Source organism: Homo sapiens, chromosome 1, assembly GCF_000001405.40.
Source record: "Homo sapiens chromosome 1, GRCh38.p14 Primary Assembly".
Classification (NCBI taxonomy): domain Eukaryota; kingdom Metazoa; phylum Chordata; class Mammalia; order Primates; family Hominidae; genus Homo; species Homo sapiens.
The window spans coordinates 45,840,123-45,862,499 of record NC_000001.11 but is presented as its reverse complement, the minus strand read 5'-3'; the positions used below and the strand labels follow the sequence as shown (position 1 = coordinate 45,862,499).

General features: G+C 38.3%; 1 protein-coding gene and 1 pseudogene across 23 annotated transcripts in view; one reads left to right on the top strand and one right to left on the bottom strand.

The window, feature by feature from the left end:
- The window catches only part of MAST2 (microtubule associated serine/threonine kinase 2), a 232,511-nt gene that overhangs the window by 173,623 nt on the left and 36,511 nt on the right, over window positions 1-22,377 (bottom strand). The window lies entirely within an intron of this gene.
- On the top strand, window positions 14,781-17,157 carry TMA16P2 (translation machinery associated 16 homolog pseudogene 2; annotated as a pseudogene).

Below are 22,377 nucleotides of genomic sequence, written 5' to 3'. Positions count from 1 at the left end.
AAAAAAAAAAAATCTTCAGTCCTCACTATCTAAAAAATTAAGTAAAAAACGTCTCCCCTTGGCATTCAAGACACGCCATATCATGGAAACAACAGATTTTATCTTCAGTAGTACCTTATTGTAACTTAACCTTCCAATTGGAAAGAACAAGGCACAGTTTCCTGAACATACCCCATCTTTCCCCACCTCAAATCCTTTGTGGATAAACAAGAATACAACCATCTACCTTATAAGGTTGTTGAAAGGAATCATTTATGAAACATGTATGAATGATTCACAACTTTTTTCAGTATCTCTCACAGAGTAGTGTGTAACCTGCTCAAAATTTCCTGCCACAACCTGGTTTCCTTAAAGCCTGTTTGGTTCTCAAAATTTATGCAAATTTTGCATTCTTCTCTGTAAGATAATAAACCTTTATTTGTTTATGTTACAGTAATATTTGTAGTAACTGATTAAACTGTAGGAAACAGAAGAAGAGTAACCAGAGAGGTGGAAGGAAATCAAGACTGCAAATGCTATTAAAGAAGCCAAGAAAAGATAGTCAGGGACTGCTGAACAAATGCTGCCTGGAGGCCCATCATTAAAGAATGTCATCCAATTTAACTGACTTGAAGTCAACTGGTACCCTTTGTAGGAACAATTTCAGGAGTGGAGGAGTGGTAGGAGCAAAAGCCCAACTCCAGTGGGTAGGAGATGAGGAAATAAAGACAGTGAATCTAGACAACTCTTCCAGCTTGCATTTAACTCTCCATACTCTCTGCAGCCAAAGTTCTCAAAAAAAAAGTTATTCTTGAAAAGGAAGGGAGGGGATTGAGAGCATAAACAGTGATAGAAGGAATATTTCTTCCACCACAAAAGATGAAAAGGAAGGAAGGGGATTGAGAGCATAAACAGTGATAGAAGGAATATTTCTTCCACCACAACAGATGAAAAGGAAAAAGCAGGTACAGGTAACAAAATATTTGTAACTTTAGTGGTAAAGAAGCTAAAGAAGCTTCCACATTATAGCTATTTTCTCCATGAAATAAAAAGGAAATCAGCAGAGCAAGGAAATTCCAAATTTGAGATGAGTAAAAAAAAAAAAAAATTGAGAGATAATACAGAGAACAAGAAAATACGCTGAACAAAAAGTAGAATTGGTAAGCAGCGTTAAGGACTGACCTACATCATTCATCATCATTTTACAGTCCCACCAATCTGCTCCGTTGTGTGGCTTTCTTCAGTAGACTACAGTAATGCAAAGGCAAAGTTTTACTAAACAGCTTTACCAGATAAATTGACCAAAAATGGGGCAAACAATTTATGACATGGAATAGAGAGAGTAACAATGGAATCTAAGCTAAAAGAGGAGGAAAGTAAAGACGAAAAGACAGGAAGAAAAGATTTAATAGAGGTGCTGGTAAGTCTGAGAACTGGTATACTTTAAGAATAATTAAATGGGGAAGCTAAAAAAATTATCAGGTTGTAGTGAGGAGGTTACCTAGAGTTACGATTTTAGTGAAGGAACATTTCAGAGGTATGACAAGGCAGAGAGCTAAGTGGACTAGAAATGATAATGAGGTCAACAACTATGCCAGGATATTATTGGATGGATTCATCTACATGGTTGCTGAAAATAACAAAGATAATAGCAGGAGTTGAGAGGAGTAGTAAGATTTTTTTTTTTGGAGACGGAGTTTCGCTCTTGTCGCCCAGGCTGCAGTGCAATGGCATGATCTCGGCTCACTACAACCTCTGCCTCCCAGGTTCAAGTGATTCTCCTGCCTCAGCCTCCTGAGTAGCTGGGATTACAGGCACCCGCCACTACGCTTGGCTAATTTTTGTATTTTTAGTAGAGATGGGGTTTCACCATGTTGGCCAGGCTGGTCTCAAACTTCTGACCTCAGGTGATCCGCCTGCCTTGGCCTCCCAAAGTGCTGGGATTACAGGCATCAGCCACTGCGCCCGGCCAAGAGTAGTAAGATGTATACTGGATTATAGAATCTAACATGAAACAGGAAGAATAATTAAGTTGGTAAACAGCAGCCAGGAAGGGAAGGACTGCCAAGAAAAATTACCCTAATGGGTCATATATGTATTGATTCTTGCTTCACATAAATTTTTTTTTTTTTTTTTTGAGACAGATTCTCACTCTGTCACCCAGGCTGGAGTGCAGTGGCATGATCTTGGCTCACTCCAACCTCTGTCTCCCAGGTTCAAGTGATTCTCCTGCCTCAGCCTCCCGAGTAGCTGGGATTACAGGTGCCCGCCACCACTCCTGGCTAATTTGTGTGTGTGTGTGTGTGTGTGTGTGTGTGTATTTTTAGTAGAGACAGGGGTTTACCATGTTGGCCACGCTTGTCACAAACTCCTGGCCTCAAGTAATCTGCCCATCTCAGCATCCCGCCACCTCAGGATTGCAGGCATGAGCCACCCCGCCCAGCCCAGATAAATTTTTATCAATGTGGATATGCTAATTTACCTCAAATCCCCTATTTTACAACTGGAGAAATTAAGACCCAGGAAGGAGACGTAACCTGCTCAGAAACAGTGTAGTAGAAACTTGAACCCATGCTTCCGACTAGAACATTCAGCTTTATTCAGCTTCAACTAAAAAGAACAGAAAGAGCAGGGTTTCTTGTCCAAGAACAGATGAATAAAACATTTTCATCATCTTCTCTACTATGTTATTAGTATTGAGAGGACTATCAGCCAATGACTAGATAAAAAGTCAAACACCTTGCAGAAATAAAAGTAAATACATAAATTCTCAGAATAGGCTGCATCTAAACATTTCCTCAACATAAATTATCCTTTTATTTATCAGTAAGTGAATAAAATATAACTAACCCCATGTGGAAAGCTATAAGGTTCTTTACATGGTAAGCAAGCCAAGATAAGCACAATGAAAAAATTAACTTTAGGCCTCCCTGATCAGCTCATCTTGATTTTCTCCCTCTCATGTTGTGTCTGGCCACAACAAATTATGAGTACTTCTCTTGCACGCACCACTTTGTTTCACTGCTTCATGCCTTGGCACATGTTCCCACCTACTGGAGAGGTTCCCTACTTCAGCTCTTACCTAGTAAACTCCTATTCATTCTTCAAAACCCAGCTCAAGGGCCAGGCGTGGTGGCTCATGCCTGTAATCCCAGCACTTTGGGAAGCAAAGGCTGGCGGATCACTTGAGGCCAGGAGTTTGAGACTAGCCTGGCCAACATGGTGAAACCACATCTCTATTAAAAATACAACAATTAGCTGGGTGTGATGGCACTTTTTGTGCCTGTAGTCCCAGCTACTCATCAGGCTGAGACAGCTGAATCACTTGAACCCAGGAGGCGGAGGTTGCAGTGAGCCGAGATACCAATGACTTTCTTCACAGAATTGGAAAAAACTACCTTAAAGTTCATATGGAACCAAAAAAGGGCCCGCATTGCCAAGACAATCCTAAGCCAAAAGAACAAAGCTGGAGGCATTATGCTACCTGACTTCAAACTATACTACAAGGCTACAGTAACCAAAACAGCATGGTACTGGTACCAAAACAGAGATATAGACCAATGGAACAGAACAGAGCCCTCAGAAATAATACCACACATCTACAACCATCTGATCTTTGACAAACATGACAAAAACAATGGGGAAAGGATTCCCTATTTAATAAATGGTGCTGGGAAAACTGGCTAGCCATATGTAGAAAGCTGAAACTGGATCCCTTCCTTACACCTTATACAAAAATTAATTCAAGATGGATTAAAGACTTAAATGTTAGACCTAAAACCATAAAAACCCTAGAAGAAAACCTAGGCAATACCATTCAGGACATAGGCATGGGCAAGGACTTCATGTCTAAAACACCAAAAGCAATGGCAACAAAACCCAAAATTGACAAATGGGATCTTATTAAACTAAAGAGCTTCTGCACAGCAAAAGAAACTACCATCAGAGTGAACAGGCAACCTACAGAATGGGGGAAAATTTTTGCAATCTACTCATCTGACGAAGGGCTAATATCCAGAATCTACAAAGAACTCAAACAAATTTACAAGAAAAAAACAAACAACCCCATCACAAAGTGGGCAAAGGATATGAACAGACACTTCTCAAAAGAAGACATTTATGCAGCCAACAGACACATGAAAAAATGCTCATCATCACTGGCCATCAGAGAAATGCAAATCAAAACCACAATGAGATACCATCTCATTTCAGTTAGAATGGCAATCATTAAAAAGTCAGGAAACAACAGGTGCTGGAGAGGATATGGAGAAATAGGAACACTTTTACACTGTTGGTGGGACTGTAAACTAGTTCAACCATTGTGGAAGACAGTGTGGCAATTCCTCAAGGATGCAGAACTAGAAATACCATTTGACCCAGTAATCCCATTACTGGGTATATACCCAAAGGATTATAAATCATGCTGCTATAAAGACACATACACACGTATGTTTATTGCGGCACTATTCACAATAGCAAAGACTTGGAACCAACCCAAATGTCCATCAATGATAGACTGAATTAAGAAAACGTGGCACATATACACCATGGAATACTATGCAGCCATAAAAAAGGATATGTTCATGTCCTTTGTAGGGACATGGATGAAGCTGGAAACCATCATCCTTAGCAAACTATCGCAAGGACAAAAAAAAAAAAAAAAAAAAAAACACCGCATGTTCTCACTCATAGGTAGGAAATGAACAATGAGAACACTTGGACACAGGAAGGGGAACATCACACACTGGGGCCTGTCATGGAGTCGGGGGAGGGGAGAGGGATAGCATTAGGAGATATACCTAATGTAAATGACAAGTTAATGGGTGCAGCACACCAACATGGCACATGTATACATATGTAACAAACCTGCACATTGTGCACATGTACCCTAGAACTTAAAGTATAAAAATAAGAACTAACTTTAGTTACAAAATCCAAGTCCTGCAGCAGTCTCAGAGACTCATCAGGCCCATCACAGTGGTGCCCCATCCAGCACAAAGTACAGAACCTGGAAACTTTACAGTCTGTGGTAGCTTCTCAACAAAGGATTCTTTTTCATTTGTTGCTTAAACAGAGAGTCAATCAATCAAGTAAAATTCCTTCCAAATAGAAAGGCCTTTTTATAGAGGACAAATATGCTCCTCAGGGTAAAAGGACAATGACTTTCCTGCTATTCCATAGGGATAATATTTTATCATTTACATAGGCTTATGATTAAGATTCCTCATTCCAATATCCTAGAAATCACTCTTTTCAAAGTAGTCTTCCTTTCATTGATTTACAAATTAAGTATTCTCTATGTACCAGATGATATCATGGGCCTAGCTATACAACTGTTAATAGAAATAGATAAAAATCCCTGACCTCTTAAAGCTTACATTCAAGTGGATGTAGACAGGCATTAAACAAAAAATGAATACATAAAATATACAGTATGTTAGAAGATAATAAATGCAATGAAGAAAAATAAAACAGGGAAGGATTAGGGGTTTGGGAGAATATTTTCATGCAAATTTGACGTTTGAGATACTGAACATATTGATGAAAAAGCTATGCTAATATTAAGGCAATATGAACACTTAAACAAGTACTAATTCCCTTGCTAAAGTATTATTTAAAAATAACTAGCTTAAGTCTACTCCCTACATATGATGCACATCTCCTCCCCAGCTCAGCCCAGCCCACTACCCTCATGACATATACATTCAAGCATACTCACATAAAAAAAAAAAACAGATCTAAAGGATAACTTCTCCCCACGTATATACAAAACATGGTTCCATGATTCTTTTTTGTTTGTTTTGCTCTTCCTCGGTATAATTGCTCATTTATTTTACTGTGCCCTGTAATTTAGAATTCTCCTAACTTAAAACCAATTAGATAATGGTATCTTTTCAAAAGACAGAACGTTTTTTTAACATACAGAAGCAAGCCAAACCAAACGACATGTAACACTCAAAGAATAAAGTGTCTTGTTAGTAAAACATGAAACTTACAAGGCATGCAAGTAAACAAAAATAAACAAAAATGTTTGATGTCAAAATCACATGTGCAACTGCGTGTGTGACTGCAAATAGTCTCACATTTGTCATTTCAACCTGAGTTACACTATACCTTGTCTGAAAAGGTTTTCCCTAGACTTCTTATATGAGAAGAAGCCACATATTAGTTCCATTTATTCATTTAAATATTTGCTCAACAAACAATTGTAACTGTTATTATTTTTAGATACGGGATATTGCTAGGTTGCCCAGGCTGGTCTTGAACTCCTGGCCTCAAGCAATCCCCCCACCTCAGCCTCCCAAAGCATTGGATTACGGATGTGAGCCACCCATGCCTGACCTCAAACATTAATTACAAGTTTGCTGTGTACCAAGCCCTGTATCTTCAGAACTGTCTTCTTCAAGAAGCTCACACTCAAGGGAGGCAAATAAATAAAAATTATATTGCACTGTGTATACACTCAGGACAGAGCTTTTCCTGCCTTCAGCATATTCAAGATCAATATTCAAGATCAATCCAAGTTAAACTTCTGAAGCCCAAGAGAAGCCGAAGATCTGAAACTGTAATGATAAGGTGAGTAAAACTAGCATTTGCTAGTCCCAAATTAGGCTCCTGAAGTCAGCACTACCAGAATAAAAATTCAGTGTTTAATTAAATCCTAGCCAGAGCAATAAAGAAAGAAAATGATAGAAAAGGAATATATAGATTGGAAAAAATAAAACTGTCCTATTTGAAAATGACATGATTGCCTATGTAGAAATGCTCAATCTACAAGAAAAACTCCTAAATGAGTTCAGCAAACTCACCGGATACAAGATCGGCACACGAAAACCAACCATATTTCTATATACTAGTAGCAACAAACATGTAAAAACTAAAATTTAAAATACAACATCATTTAAAGTTGCAAAAAAAAAAGTTTCATCTCATTTCTTTTTTCTATCTGACCTCTTAAATTTCAACCCCACTTGAAATAAATTACCAGCGCTGAGGGACTGAGACTGTTCCTGGCAAGCAGCATGAAAATACAAAAAGATAAAATACTTAGAGACAGAAATGCAGCAAAACACATACAAGATATGTATGCTAAAAATTACAACATGCTGATGAAAAGAATTAAAAATCTACATAAATGCAGAGACACACTATTTTCATGGGTCAGAAGAATCAAATAGAAAAAAAAAGCCATTTCTCCTCAAAACTTATTGTGATATCGTGATTTATAATAAAAATATATATTTTTTGGTCTTCATCCTAGTTCTTGACACAGAGCTCCCAATCCATTAGAATTTATTGGGTGATAGACATGCCTTCTGTTCTAACAAAGGGAATGTTAACTGGGCTCCTGTATGGAGGCTGTGCACCAGAAAGACCAAGCCATGATTAGAAAATTGGAACTTTCCACCTCACCCTCCAATCCTCTGGGAAGGGGATCATGCCTATGTGATAAAGCTGCCATGAAAATCAGTGAAGTACAGGGTTCAGAGAGCTTCCAGGATCCTGACCACATGCAGGTACCTGGAGGATAGTGAGCCCAGAGCGGGTGAAGCTCCACACTCCTTCCCACCTGCCTCATCCTATGTGCTTCTCCACCTGGTGGTTCATCTGTATCCAATTTATAGCTGGTCAGTCAAAAGAACAGGTAAAACCAGCTAGGACTGAAACTGGATCTAAAGTAGGGGCAATCTTATGGGACAGGGCCTTAGCCTATGGGATCTGATGCTTATTCCAGGCATGCAGTATAGGAGTTGAGTTAAATTATAAGGCACCCAGCTTCTGTCTGCTGTTTGGTGTACAGGGAAAAAAAACCCATAAATGTGGTGTCAGAAGGGTCCTGTGTTGTGGTGAGTTTGAGAGTAGGTAAAAGTTTAGTTTTTCCTTTATCTCATATTTCTTTATAGGTTTAATGTAATTCCTATCAAAATCCCAGCAAGACTTTTTGTAGATATAAAAAAGCTTATTCTAAAATTTATGTAGAAAGAAAAAAAATCACTAAAACCATTTTGAAATAGAACAGTAAGTGTAAGGAATCACTCTACCCAATGTTAAGACTTACTATATAGCAGCAGTAATCAAAACATTGTGGTAATGGCAGAAGGAGAGTCCCATAAGTGAACTGAACAGAAAAGAGAACCCAGAAATAAACCACACAAATATGTCCAATTTTTTTTTTTTTTTTTTGAGACAGAGGGTCACTCTGTCACCCAGGCTGCAGTACAGTGGTACGATCTCAGCTCACTGCAACCTCTGCCTCCCGGGTTCAAGTGATTCTCCTGCCTCAGCCTCCCGAGTAGATGAGATTACAGGCATGAACCATCACTCCTGGCTAATTGTTATATTTTTAGTAGATAGGGTTTTGCCATGTTGGCCAGGCTGGTCTCGAACTCCTGACCTCAGGTGATCTGCCCACCTTAGCCTCCCAAAGTGCTGAGATTACAGGCATGAGCCACTGTGCCCGGCCTGAATATGTCCAACTGATTTTTGGCAAAAGTGGAAAAGCAATTCAATGCAGAAAGGACACACTTTTCAATAACTTATACTAGAACAACTGGACATCCATGAGCTGAATAAAAAAATAAGCTTAACCTACAACTCACACTATACACAAAAATTACTTCAAAATTGATCATGAGTTAAATGTAAAAAATAAAACTGTAAATTTTTAAAAGAACACAGAGGAGAAAATCTTCAGAACCTAGGAATAGGTGAAAAGTTCTTAGACATGACACCAAGAACACAATCAGAACTTCATCAAAATTAAAGACATTTTTCAACCTAAGAAAGCTGATTGAAAAAAAAAAGAGATTGTACACATAAAGGTAGTATAAAAAATTTTTCTTTTAAGAAACAGAAAAACAATTTTAGGATGGGCACAGTGGCTCACGCCTGTAATCCCACCACTTTGGGAGGCCGGGGTGGGTGGATCACTTGAGGTCAGGAGTTCAACACCAGCCTGGTCAACATGGTAAAAACCTGTCTCTACTAAAAATACAAAAATTACACAGGCGTGATGGTACACACCTGTAATCCCAACTACTCAGGAGGCTGGGCAGGAGAATCACTTGAACCCAGGAGGTAGAGGTTGCCGTGAGCCGAGATCGAGCCACTGCACTATGGCCTAGGTGACAGAGACTCTGACTCAAAAAAAAACAATAATTATTTTTAAAAAATTAATAAATGTGTTATGCAAAACACTCTGTTAAAAAGAATAAAAAAGTTATTTGCAAACCACATATCCAACAAGGAATTTATATTTAGAATACATACAAAACTTTTAAAAGTTTATAGTTTTAGGGCATGGGGCTCATATCTGTAATCCCAGCACTTTGGGAGGCCAAGGCAGGTGGATCACCTGAGCTCAGGAGTTCGAGACCAGCCTGACCAACATGGTGAAACCCTGTCTCTACTAAAAATACAAAAATTAGTGAGCATGGTGGTAGGCGACTGTAATCCCAGCTACTCGGGAGGATGAGGTATGAGAATCACTTTAACCTGGGAGACAGAGGTTGCAGTGACCCAAGATCATGCCACTGCACTCCAGCCTGGGTGACAGAGATACCATCTCAACAAAAAATAATTGTTTTTAATTTAAAAAAAAAGTTAATAGCTTTAAAAAAATCCATTGCCAGTGGTGCAGATTCAAAAAACAAACACATAAAATCTATCAACATGTGAGTAAATAACCAAGTGATGTGTGACCATACAATGGAATACTACACACAAAGAGGGAAAGAACTGAGTGGATACATGCAACAATTTAGACGGATCTCAAAAACATTATACTTACTGAAAAAAATCTCAAAAGGTTATATACTATATGGTTCCATTTATATAATATTCACATAAAGGCCAGGCATAGTGGCTCACCCTTTTAATTCCAACACTTTGGAAGGCTGAGGGAGGAGGATCACTTGAGCCCAGGAGTTCGAGACCAGTCTGGGCAACATAGCAAGACTCCATCTCTACAAATTAAAAAAAAAAAAAAAAAATTAGCCAGGCATGGTGGCTTGTGCCTGTGATCCCAGCTACTCGGAAGGCTGAGGCAGGAGGATCACCTGAGACTGGGAGATGGAGGCTGCAGTGAGCCATGACTGCAAAACCACACTCCAGCCTGGGGGACAGAGTGAGACCCTGTATCAAAAGGAAATATAAATATAAATATAATTCACATAGAGAAGAACACATTAGTGGTTGCAAGAAGATAAAGACGGGGTGGGAGTGCAAATATAAAAGGGCAGCCCAAGCGAATTCCTTTGTAATGACAGTACGGTTCTGTATGTTGATTGTGGTGGTGGCCATTACACAAATCTATTCATGGGATGAGATTGCATGACTTGTACATACACACACAAACATATACAAGTGTATATAAAGACCAAATAAGGGCTATAATCTAGTTAATGATATTGTACAAATGTCATTTTCATGGTTTTAATATTGTATTATAGCTATATAAGATGACACTATTGGTGAAAGCTGGGTGAAGGGTTCATAGTACTCTGCACTATTTTTGCAACTTCCTATGCAACCATAAGTATTTTTTTAAAGGCTAAATAACTGAAAAAAAAGGAAATTCCTATATTTTCATTTTAGTATCTCCCTATAAATGCATGTTACTTTATTCCCAAAATGCCCCAACACATCTCAGAAACGTTTCTGTTTGGAGCTTTTTGCCCTCTTTAAAAAATAGTCCATTAATTCTATTTGCCAGCAGCAATCTCAGTCCCTCAGCTCAGGTAATTCATTTCAAGTAGGGCTGAAAATTTTTTCTATTAGGTCAAGCAGAAAAAAGGAAGTCAGATGAATAGATGTAGAAAAAGCTTTCAATAAAATCCACCATCCCTTCATGATAAAAACCCTCAACAAACTAGGCATCCAAGGAACATATCTCAAAATAAATAAAAGCCACCTATGACAAATCCACAGCCAACATCATGCTGAATGAGAAAAACTGGAAACATTCCTCTTGAGAACTGGAACAAGACAAGGATGTCTACTCTCCTGACTGCTGGTCAACAGAGCACTGGAAGTTCTAGCCACAGCAATCACACAAAGGAAAGAAAGAAAAGGCATCCAAACAGCAAAGAAGTCCAGCTATCTTTCTTTGCAGACAATATGATTTTATACCTGGAAAACCCTAAAGACTCCGCCAAAGGCTCCTGGAACTGATAAATGGCTTCCCAGTTTTAAGATACAAAAGCAATGTACAAAAATCAGTAGCAATTCTATATACCAGTAACATTCAAGCTGAGAGCCAAGTAAAGAATGCAGTCCCATTTACAATAGCTACAAAAAAAAGAAAAAGAAAAAGTACCTAAGAATACATCTAACCAAGGAGGTAAAAGATCTCAACAAGGAGAACTACAAACACTGCTAAAAGAAATCACAGGTGACACAAACAAAAGGAAAAAAATTTCATGCTCATGGATTAGAAGAATCAATACTGTTGAAACAGCCATACTGTCCAAATCAATCTACAGATTCAGCATAATTCTTATCAAACTACCAATGTCATTTTTCACAGAACTAGAAAGAACTATTCTAAAATTTACATGAAACCAAAAAAGAGCTCAAATAGCCAAAACAATCCTAAGCAAAAAGAACAAAGCTGCAGGGATTACATTACCCAGCTTCAGACTATACTATAAGGCTACAGTGTTTAAAAAAAAAAAAAAAAAAAAGCATAGTACTGGTACAAAAGCAGACACATAGACCTATAGAACAGAATAGAGAACCCAGAAATAAAGCCACACACCTACAATCTTCTGATCTTTAGCAAAGTCAACAAAAATAAGCAATGGGGAGAGGACTCTATTCAATAAATAGTGCTGGGATAGCTGGCTAGGCACATGCAGAAGAATGAAACTGGAACCCTACCTTTCACCACATACAAAAATTAACTCAAGATGGATTAAAGATTTAAATGTAAGACCTCAAACTGTAAGAATCCTAGGGAAAAAACAAACAAACAAACTAGGAAACACCATTCCAGACACTGACCTTGGGAAACAATTTATGACTGAGTCCTCAAAAGCAATTGCAACAAAAACAAAAATTGTCAAGTGGGACCTAATTAGACTAAAGAGTTTCTGCACAGCAAAAGAAACAATCAGTAGAGTTAACAGCCTACAGAATGGGAGAAAATATTTGCAAACTATGCATCTGACAAAGGTCTAATATCTAGACTCTATAAAGAACTTAAACAATTAAACAAGCAAAAAACAACCCCATCACAAAATGGGCAAAAGACATGAACAGACACTTCTCAAAAGAAGATATACAGGCAGCCAACAAACATGAAAACATGCTCCACATACTAACCATTTGAGAAATGCACATCAAAACCACAATGAGATACCATCTTATGCCAGTCAGAATAGCTATTATCAAAAAGCAAAAAAACAACAGATGCCGGCAAGACTGCAGATAAAAGGGAACACGTATACACTGTTGGTAGGAATGTAAATTAGTTTAGCACTCTGGAAAGTAGTTGGGAGACTTCTCAAAGAGCCTAAAACTGAACTACCATTCAACCCAGCAATCCTATTACTGGGTAAATATACAAAAGAAAACAAATCATTCTACCAAAAAGACACATGTACTCACATGTTAATCACAGCACTATTCACAATAGTAAAGACATGGGATCAACCTAGGTGCCCATCAACAGTGGACTAGATAAAGAAAATATGGGCGGGGCACAGTGGCTCACGCCTGTAATCCCAGCACTTTGGGAGGCTGAGGCAGGCAGATCACGACGTCAGGAGATCCAGACCATCCTGGCTAATATGGTGAAACCCCATCTCTACTAAAAATACAAAAAATTAGCTGGGTGTGGTGGCGGGCGCCTGTAGTCCCAGCTACTCCAGAGGCTGAGGCAGGAGAATGGTGTGAACCTGGGAGGTGGAGCTTGCAGTGAGCCTAGATCGCGCCACTGCACTCCAGCCTGGGTGACAGAGAGAGACTCCATCTCAAAAAAAAAAAAAAGAAAAGAGGGGGTCCAGCTTTAATCTTCTGCATATGGCTAGCCAGTTATCCCAGTATCATTACTTGTTTTTGTCAGTTTTGTCACAGATCACATGGTCATAGGTGTGCAGCTTTATTTCTGCCGGAAATAAAGTTCCATTGATCTATGTGCCTTTTGTACCAGTAACATGCTGTTTTGGTTACTGTATCCCTATAGTACAGTTTGAAGTTGGGTAACGTGAGGCCCCCAGTTTTGTTCTCTTTGCTTAGGACTGCCTTGGCTATTCAAGCTCTTTTTTGGTTCCATACGAATTTTAAAATCGTTTTTTCTAGTTCTGTGAAGAATGTTCTTGGTAGTTTGATAGGAATAGCATTGAATCTGTAAACTGCTTTAGGCAGTATGGTCATTTTAATGATATTGAGTCTTCCTATCCATGAGCATGGTGTGTTTTTTCATTTGTTTTTGTCTTCTCTGATTTCCTTGAGCAGTGTCTTCTAATTCTCATTGTAGAAATCTTGCACCTCCCTGGTTAGCAGTATTCCTAGGTATTGTATTCTTTTTGTGGTAATTGTGAATGGGATTGCCTTCCTGATTTGGCTCCCAGCTGGGCTGTTGTTGGTGGATAGGAATGCTAGTGGTTTTTTGTATGTTAATTTGGTGTCCTGAAACTTTGCTGAATTTGTTTATCAGTTGAAGGAGCTTTTGGGCCAAGATGATGGGGTTTTCTACACATACAATCATGTCATCTACAAACAGGGATAATCTGACTTCTCTCTTCCTACTTGAATGCCGTTTATTTCTTTCTCTTGCCTGATTACTCCGGCTATACCCTTAACTATTTTCATAAATCCTTCAAAGACTACCTGTGTCAGGGGTCACCAAAACCATCCCCAGGTTCCATGATCCTCCAGGAGTACTCACAGGACCCTGCATATAATCAGCATATGGAAAAGGTGCATGAGGCAAAGTCTGGAGGAAACCAAGCACAAGCTTCCCAGAGTTCGCTCCCAGTGAAGTCACATAAGACACACTTATTTCTTCCAGCAACACCTAGTAACTATATCCATGAAATGTTGTCTACCAGGAAAGCTCACCAAAGACTCAGTGTCCAAAGTTTTTAATGGAGCTGCTCACACAGGCACCCTCTTGCCTACTACATACCAAAATTTCAGACTCCCAGAAGGTAAGTAAATGTTCAGCATAAATCACATTGTTTGCACAGTAAGTCACTCTTATCATTCAAGGAAATTTTTATCAGTGTAGGAAACTGTTTACCATTCAAGTTTCCAGATACCAGCCAAGGGTCGGCCTTCCGCACAAGCCTTTCTAAGGATAGTAGTCTCAGGACTGCTATATTAATGGTTTATTGTACACTACTACTATTTCTTAACATTGCTATCTCTTAAGGCCACCAGTCTACACATGCTGAAACCAGCCTTGTTCCCTATACATTCTATAGATAAGACATATTGCAAAAATGAAGAATGACAACTCAATGTTCTGGAGAAAATAAAGGAGAACATACGTTAAACTAGGAATAGGGTCTAGTAAATATTAGTTCTCTATTGCAACTAAACTATCACTAGTAATTATATTGTCTATATGATAGAATGCACCAGTAGCACTGCTTTTCAATCTTTGCTCAGCACTGTAAATATACCAGTGCGAAGCAACACATGACAATAACAGCCTAATTAAAAGACTAGTACTGGCCGGGCATAGTGGCTCACACCCTTTGGGAAGCTGAGGCGGGGAGATGGCTTGAACCCAGGAGTTCGAGACCAGACTGGGCAATATGGCAAAATCTCATCTTAAAAAAAAAGAAAAAGGGAGGCCCCAGGGGGATTTGGCACGGGTACTCCTGTGAGCTGCTGCTCTTGTGGTTGGTGAGACTGCCTGGGTCTAGAGTGCAGAGCTCCTCTGTGGCCGCGAGGACGTCACTATACCTAAAGCACCAAAGGGAAAAAGTGCAGGATGGGAAAAAAAGTCATTCATCCATATAGTAGAAAAGCAGCTCAAATTATGAGAGAGGCCCACAAATAAGAAAAAAAGGAAAAATTGAAGAATGAAAAGGCCTTGTGTTTCAATCTTATTGGTGAAAAACTGCAATGGTTTCAAAATCATCTTGATCCCCCCCAAAAAAAGATATTCAAACAAAGATGCTTGTGAACTAACTGAAAGGTACTTAAATTAAATTGATTTAGCAGTGAGTTGGAGCAGATTGAGTTACATAACAGTATCAGGGACAAGCAGGACAGGCAGCACTGTTCCCAGGACACCATCATCAAGCAGACGATGGAGCGGGAGGGACAGCAGTATAAAGGATGTGGCTTTGAGATTCCAGACATTCTAAATGCAAGTAATCTGAAAACATTTAGGGAATGGGACTTTGATCTGAAGAAATTGCCAAATATTAAAATGAGAAAAATCTGTGCTAATGATGCAATTCCCAAGAAGTGCAAGAGGAAAACTATTATAACTACAGACCAAGATTTAGTGGAATTGGAACTAAACGATGAATCAAATGACTCAGAAGAGGAAATGACTGGATTAGCCTAATCATCTTCACTTGAATTCAAAATAAATAATTTGAGAGCTTCAAATTATATTCATTGATTATGGTACATAATCATCAAGATACAAGAATTTGATGTTGACATTCTCTTATATGATGAGAGTTTCATTTGCAGTTTCAAAAATGGTGTTATTAATTTTTTTTTTTTTTTAAGACGGAGTCTTGCACTGTCACCTGGGCTGGAGTGCAGTGGCATCATCTCGGCTCACTGCAACCTCTGCCTCCCAGGTTCAAGCAATTCTCCTGCCTCAGCCTCCCAGGTAGCTAGGATTACAGGTACCCGCCACCACGCCCAGCTAATTTGTTTTGTGTTTTTTTAGTAGAGACTGGGTTTCACCATGTTGGCCAGGCTGGTCTTGAACTTCTGACCTCGTGATTCACCTGCCTCGGACTCCCAAAGTGCTGGGATTACAGGTATGAGCCACCGCACCTGGCCTATGATATTTATTTTAAAATGAAGATTGCTTTTCATTTATATTAAGTTGCTAAAATAGATAGACGTGATCTGCAAAAGTTGTTTAATCTTTTTCATCTAAATTTCAGGCCGGGGGGAGCAATATAACTAAGGACAGAAAATGTTTTGATTTTCTTGTATATTTATGATCATCTAATTTCACATTTTGTGAAACGGACAGTAACCTGTTTCCTAAAAGATTCCTGTCACTACTTTTTGAGCTGTGATAACAGCAAAATTGTCTTTCAGTAATAATATCAAATTAATCCTTCTTTAAACATTAAACCTATTTTCTTTTTTTTTACAACATAAGGGAAAATGTGATAAAAAATTTGTATACACTGGTGGATTATAGATTATTATTTATCTTTTGAACCAGAGTTAAATGGTTAAAAAAAAAATCAGTGATGATTGTTATGTTGATCTCCCACAATTAATTTATCTTTTGAAACGGGATAAAGAGGCCAGGCACAGTGGCTCATGCCTGTAATCCCAGCACTTTGGGAGGCCGAGGCGGGCAGATCACAAGGTCAGGAGTTCGAGACCACCCTGGCTAACACAGTGAAACCCCGTCTCTACTAAAAATGCAAAAAACTAGCCGGGCATGGTGGTGGGCACCTGTAGTCCCAGCTACTCAGGAGGCTGAGGTGGGAAAATGGCGTGAACCCAGGAGGCAGAGCTTGCAGTGAGCCGAGATCGCACCGCTGCACTCCAGCCTGGGCGACAGAGACACTCCGTCTCAAAAAAGGAAAAAGAGGATAAAGAATTTCAGTTTAGCTCCTTTTAATTGTATATTATTTTTTGCTTTTTTATTGTGAAAAGTGACAGGTTTTATTTGTGGAGAGAGAACTAAAGATTAGAGACCCAGTGATTTTAATTATGTTACTTTTTCTTCTAAGAGATAAATTAAATTGACATGTAATTCAGCATTTTCAGCATCATGAAAAACATAAATGTTGTACAATGTTTTTCCTAAAAAACTTGTTAAATACAAGTATCCTTAATATGTTTTTAAAAGAGCACAATGCAGGTGTATTTGAGTCTCTTCAAGAAAATAATAAAAACATTAATGCTGTATTAGGTTAACTGGATATCAACTAAGTCTTGTTAACAGTTTAAAGTATCATAACTTTTTTTAACCTCTGAAAATTAAAAATAAAATTTATTTCTGCAATTTCAAAAAAGAAAAAGGAAAAAAACAAAAAGACTAGCACTGATATTTTTTGTATAAGAGTAAAAACAAAACCTGCTCTTATAACTTTTTACTAGTGGTTTAATAATGCCGTTCTCCTTGACATATATGACACCTTACCAAAAACTTGCATAAACGTTCTCCCATGTATTCTAACCATCAACAAATTCAGTAAGATCTCTTTCTGTAACCTCAACTGCTATGGTATGAATGTGTTCCCCAAAATCCATGTGCTGGAAATTTAATTTCCAATGCAACAGTGGTGGGAGATTTGGCCTTTTGAGAGGTGTTTAAGTCATGAAAGCTCTGTTCTCATGAATGGATTAATGTCACTATAAAAAGGGCTTACAGGAATGGATTTCTTCTCTATTGCCCTTCCACCTTCTGCCACGTGAGGAAACACCAAGAAAGCCCTCATCAGATGCTGGTACCTTGATCTTGGGCTTCTGAGCCCCAAGAACTCTAAGAAATAAACCTTGATTCCTTATAAATTACCCAGTTTCGAGTATTCTGTCATAGCAGCACAAAACGGACGAACAAACCAATCAACCAACAAATTTATCTAAAAAAATTTTTTATTTTAAATGCCTTTTAAAAATTTAGATGCTTGGCAGGTGCAGTGGCTCACAACTGTAATCCCGATAGTTTGAAGTCTGAGGCAGGATTGCTTGAGCCCAGGGGTTCGAGACCAAACTGGGAAACACTGTAAAATCCCACCTCTACAAAAAGTTTAAAAATAAAAATTAAGCTGGCCGCGGTGGCTCACACCTATAATCTCAGCACTTTGGGAAGCCGAGGCAGGTGGATCACTTGAGGCCAGGAGTTTGGGACCAGCCTGGCCAACATGGTGAAACACCATCTCTACTAAAAATACAAAAAATTAGCTGGGCATGGTGGCAGGCGCCTGTAATCCCAGCTACTCAGGAAACTGAAGCAGGAGAATCACTTGAACCTGGGAGTCGGAGGTTGCAGTGAGTCACTGCACTCCAGCCTGGGCAGCAAGAGTGAAACTCTGTCTCAAAAAATAAATAAATAAAAGTTTAAAAATAAATAAAAATAAAAATTAGCCAGGCATCGTGGCCCATGCCTGTAGTCCCAACTACTCAGGAGGCTGAGGCAGGAGAATCACTTGACCCTAGCAGGTTGACACTGCGGTGAGCCAAGGTTGCACCACTGCACTCCAGCCTGGGTGACAGAGCAAGATCCTGTCTCAAAAACAAAAACAAAAAAAAGTAAGGCTGTCTATAATTTTTGTAAGACAAATTCAAGATAAGAAAAAAATTTGACGTCACTATTTTTAAGGTATCTTAAATTCTTTACAAATTAACACAAAAGAGATGATAAAAATGCTTAACTATTCAAGATGAAATTCAGCTCCGAATTTGTTCAGGCAAAGTATTTAATGTGTTCTTTTACTTCTCTCTTAAGGATGCTCTTGAGAGTAAGCTAAGACTGCCAATATACTGCTCAAGTCTCATGAAATTTCAAAACTTTTATTTTAAAACCTCTTAACATTACTCATATACCCTTCAAAAGACACTAGATGGCATTAGAAACAAGTTCCTCTTACAAAAAGAAAAACTAAGAGTGAAAAGGACAGCAATTCTCAAGTGAATGCACTTTATCTAAACTCCTACAGTTCTTATCTAAGTTGAATACTTCACTGTCTAACATTATCTATCCTTTCACATGTAATTTTTTCATGTTCCCCTACATTCCTTTTATTTCTCTTTACTCTCTCCCATGGTGATTTAATCCACAGCTTCCAAGTCCACATCTATAGCCCTAAACTGCTGTACTTTACTCTGGACATCTAACTCTTGAAAGGATACCTAAAAAGTGATATCCACATGCAAAAAAATAAACTCTTGCCTCACACTGAATATAAAAACTGACTCAAAATGGGTCGATGAAGTAAATATAAGAAGTAAAACCATAAAATTCATAGAAGAAAACACAGAAGTAAATCATGACCTTGGAGCTGGCAATGGATTCTTAGATATGAAACCAAAAGCATAAGCAATAACAGAAAAACACAGATAAGTTAGACTTCATCAAGGGCATTTTTAAACTTCAAAGGACATTACCAACAAACTAAAAAGACAACACACAGAACAGGAAAAAAATTTGGAAATCATATAACTAAGGGTCTAATACCCAGAATATATAACAAACTTAAAACAACAAAAAAATTCAATTAAAAAAAATGGGCAAAGGACTTGTATAGACATTTTTCCAAAGAAGATATATAAATGGTCAAAAAACACATGAAAAGATGCTCAACATCATTAGTCATTACAGAACTACAAATCAAAACCACAATGAGGTACCACTTCATACTCACCAGGATAGTATAACTAAACAATAATTTTTTAAATGGAATATAACAAGTTGACAAAGATATAGAGAAACTGAAACCTTCAGTACATTGCTAGTGGAACTGTAAAATGGTAAGCTATTACAGAAAACAGTTTGGTTATTCCTCAAAAAGTTGAATTACCGTATTTCTTTGTGATTCCACCCCAGGTATATCCCCAAAAGAACTGAAGACAGGTACTCAAGTACATGTATACATATAGTTCATAGCAGCACTATTCACAGTATCCAAAAGGTGGAAACAGCCCAGTGTCCATCAATGGATAAAAAGTTGTGTTGGACACATACAACGAGATATTATTCAACCAAAAGAAGGAATAAAGTACCAATATATGCTAGAATGTGGATGAACATCCAAACATTATGCTAAATGAAATAAACCAGATACAGAAGGTCACATATGTATAATATTATTTATATAAAATATCCAGAATAGAGAAATCCATAGAGACAAAATGCAGATTGCATGGAAGGGGAGTGGGGAGAAAGGGCTTAATGGATAAGAGGTTTAAATCTAAAGTAACAGGCAGGTTTTGCAGCTAGATAGAGGTGGCAGTTGTATTGTGAAAAACAAATCTGCCAGTACTAAATGCCACTGAATTGTTCACTTTAAAATGGTTGATTTTGTTATGTAAATTTCATATCAATATTTTTAAAAGGATATGTACACCAGATTACCTGTCATCATCTGAGAATCAAACTCATTAATTTTCTCCCCCAAACCTGTTCCTTTTCCTGTATTCTCAATTTCAGATAAAAGTAACAGCCAGGTACAGTGGCTCATTCCTATAATCCCAGTACTTAGGGAGGCCAAAGCGGGTGGATCACTTGAGCCTGGGAGTTCGACACAGAAGAATACAACGATCACCTAGTGGCAATCAAGCAGACCATCCGAAGACAAAACTCCTTATCTGAAAAATTGAAAAGTAATTAGACTTCTCTATTATCTAAAGCCAGCATCTGGTACCAGGCTTCTTTCCCAAAAATTTATAAGTAACTAGAATTTCTATACATCTCCAGAATGCATGAATGTCAAAACTTATTTTGCAACCCTTGCTAACATCAAGGCACCCAAAGTCTACAAATGTAATAATTTACCATGACCTACATAACTAATATGGTCCAAATTACCCTAAGGTCCTGCTTTAAAGTCCATAAATACCCCTAAGGAAAATCCACCGCAACACACTCAGTCCTTTTTGCTGAATGAAGCACTGTACTGCACTCTGCTGCAGCATTCTATCTAATAAAACTTTCCTTTCTAAACCTATACTGCTGTCAGTAAATTCTTTTACCACCAGTGAGCCAACCACTCTCCACTGCCGGGTTCTGACACCTTGCCCAGCAGAGACTAGCCCGCACAACATGGCGAAATCCTGTCTCTACAAAAAAGTCAAAAAATTAGCCAGGCATGGTGGCATCCACCTGTGGTCCCAGCTACATATATAAGGAATACATGTATTTCTTACTGTATCACAGTAATTATATATATATACAGAAGAAATATATATATGTATATATTTCTTTATACGGTAAGAAATATACACAATATTTCTTACTGTATCACAGCTACTAATAACTATTTGAAGTACCGAGGCATAAAAAGAAAAAAATATATACATTTTGTTCATATTGTTAAATGACAAACCTGAGACAAGTTAAATTTAATGACTTAATTGAACAAAAAACAGATTTGCCAGGTGCGGTGGCTCACCCCTGTAATTCCAGCACTCTGGGAGGCAGAGGTGGAGACTGGAGGATTGGTTGAGCCCAGAAGTTTGAGACCAGCCTGGGCAGCACAGGGAGCCCCCACCCCCAACCCCCATTACAAATAATAAGGAAATGAAAACTGTGGTCCCAGCTTCCGGGAAAGGTGGGGAAGGGAGCAGCCTGAGGCAGAAGCATCACTCAAGCCCAAGAGGTCCAGACTGCAGTGAGCCATGTCACTGCACTCCACCCTGGGTGACTAAGCAAGTCCCTGTCTCAAAAAAATAGAGATTAATGAACCAGTTAGCATCCAGTACCAAATGCAGTTCAGAATGTTCCATCCCCCAATGCATGTAGGCTATATTTATAGCCAGAGAAACAGAAATGACATACAGAAGTAGCCTGATGGGCTGCAGTTCAGGTGTTTGCCTTATTTGAACATGCTTTGGCAATATTCAGCCTATATGACTGGCTGAAAACTTGGCTGCTATGCTTGACTGAGGCTCAGCTACTTGTTACAAGAGTATACTCTTAGGTTAGGTTGCAGGTAGTTTATATATTAAATTAGGTTATAGTTCACTATGTAGGGAGGTAGCTTTTGGCTGCCTCTAAATTTAACTATAAATCTGGCACTATGCTATTTTAAATGGATTGTCTCATTTCATCCTAAAAACTGCATGAGCGAAGTCTTAATATTATTTTGATTTTAAAGATGAGAAAACAGAGGCTTAAAGAGGTTCAGTGACTTGTAGAGGGTCATATGATTACTAAGTGGCAGGAGTAGGATGTGGAACACAGGTGTACAGCCTGAGTTTGTATTTACTTTTGTAAAGTAGAAGGCATTCACAATGATTTCATTCAAATATATTTTCTTGAGTAGAAATGAAAAAAGTATAAATTAACGGGTAAACCCACAGGAGTTGCATGCAAAGAACATTCATTATGACTTCTAGATTTCTACCTCCAAAGGTAGAAGGTAGTGATATGTATTAAAATCCAAACAGACAACAAAATCTGTTAATAACTCTTTAACACAAGTTTTACTCATCATTCCACCCCCTTGTAGATACACTTCAATTTGTCTTCATTCCATTAAAAATAAATACTGAAGAGCAAAAATTTTT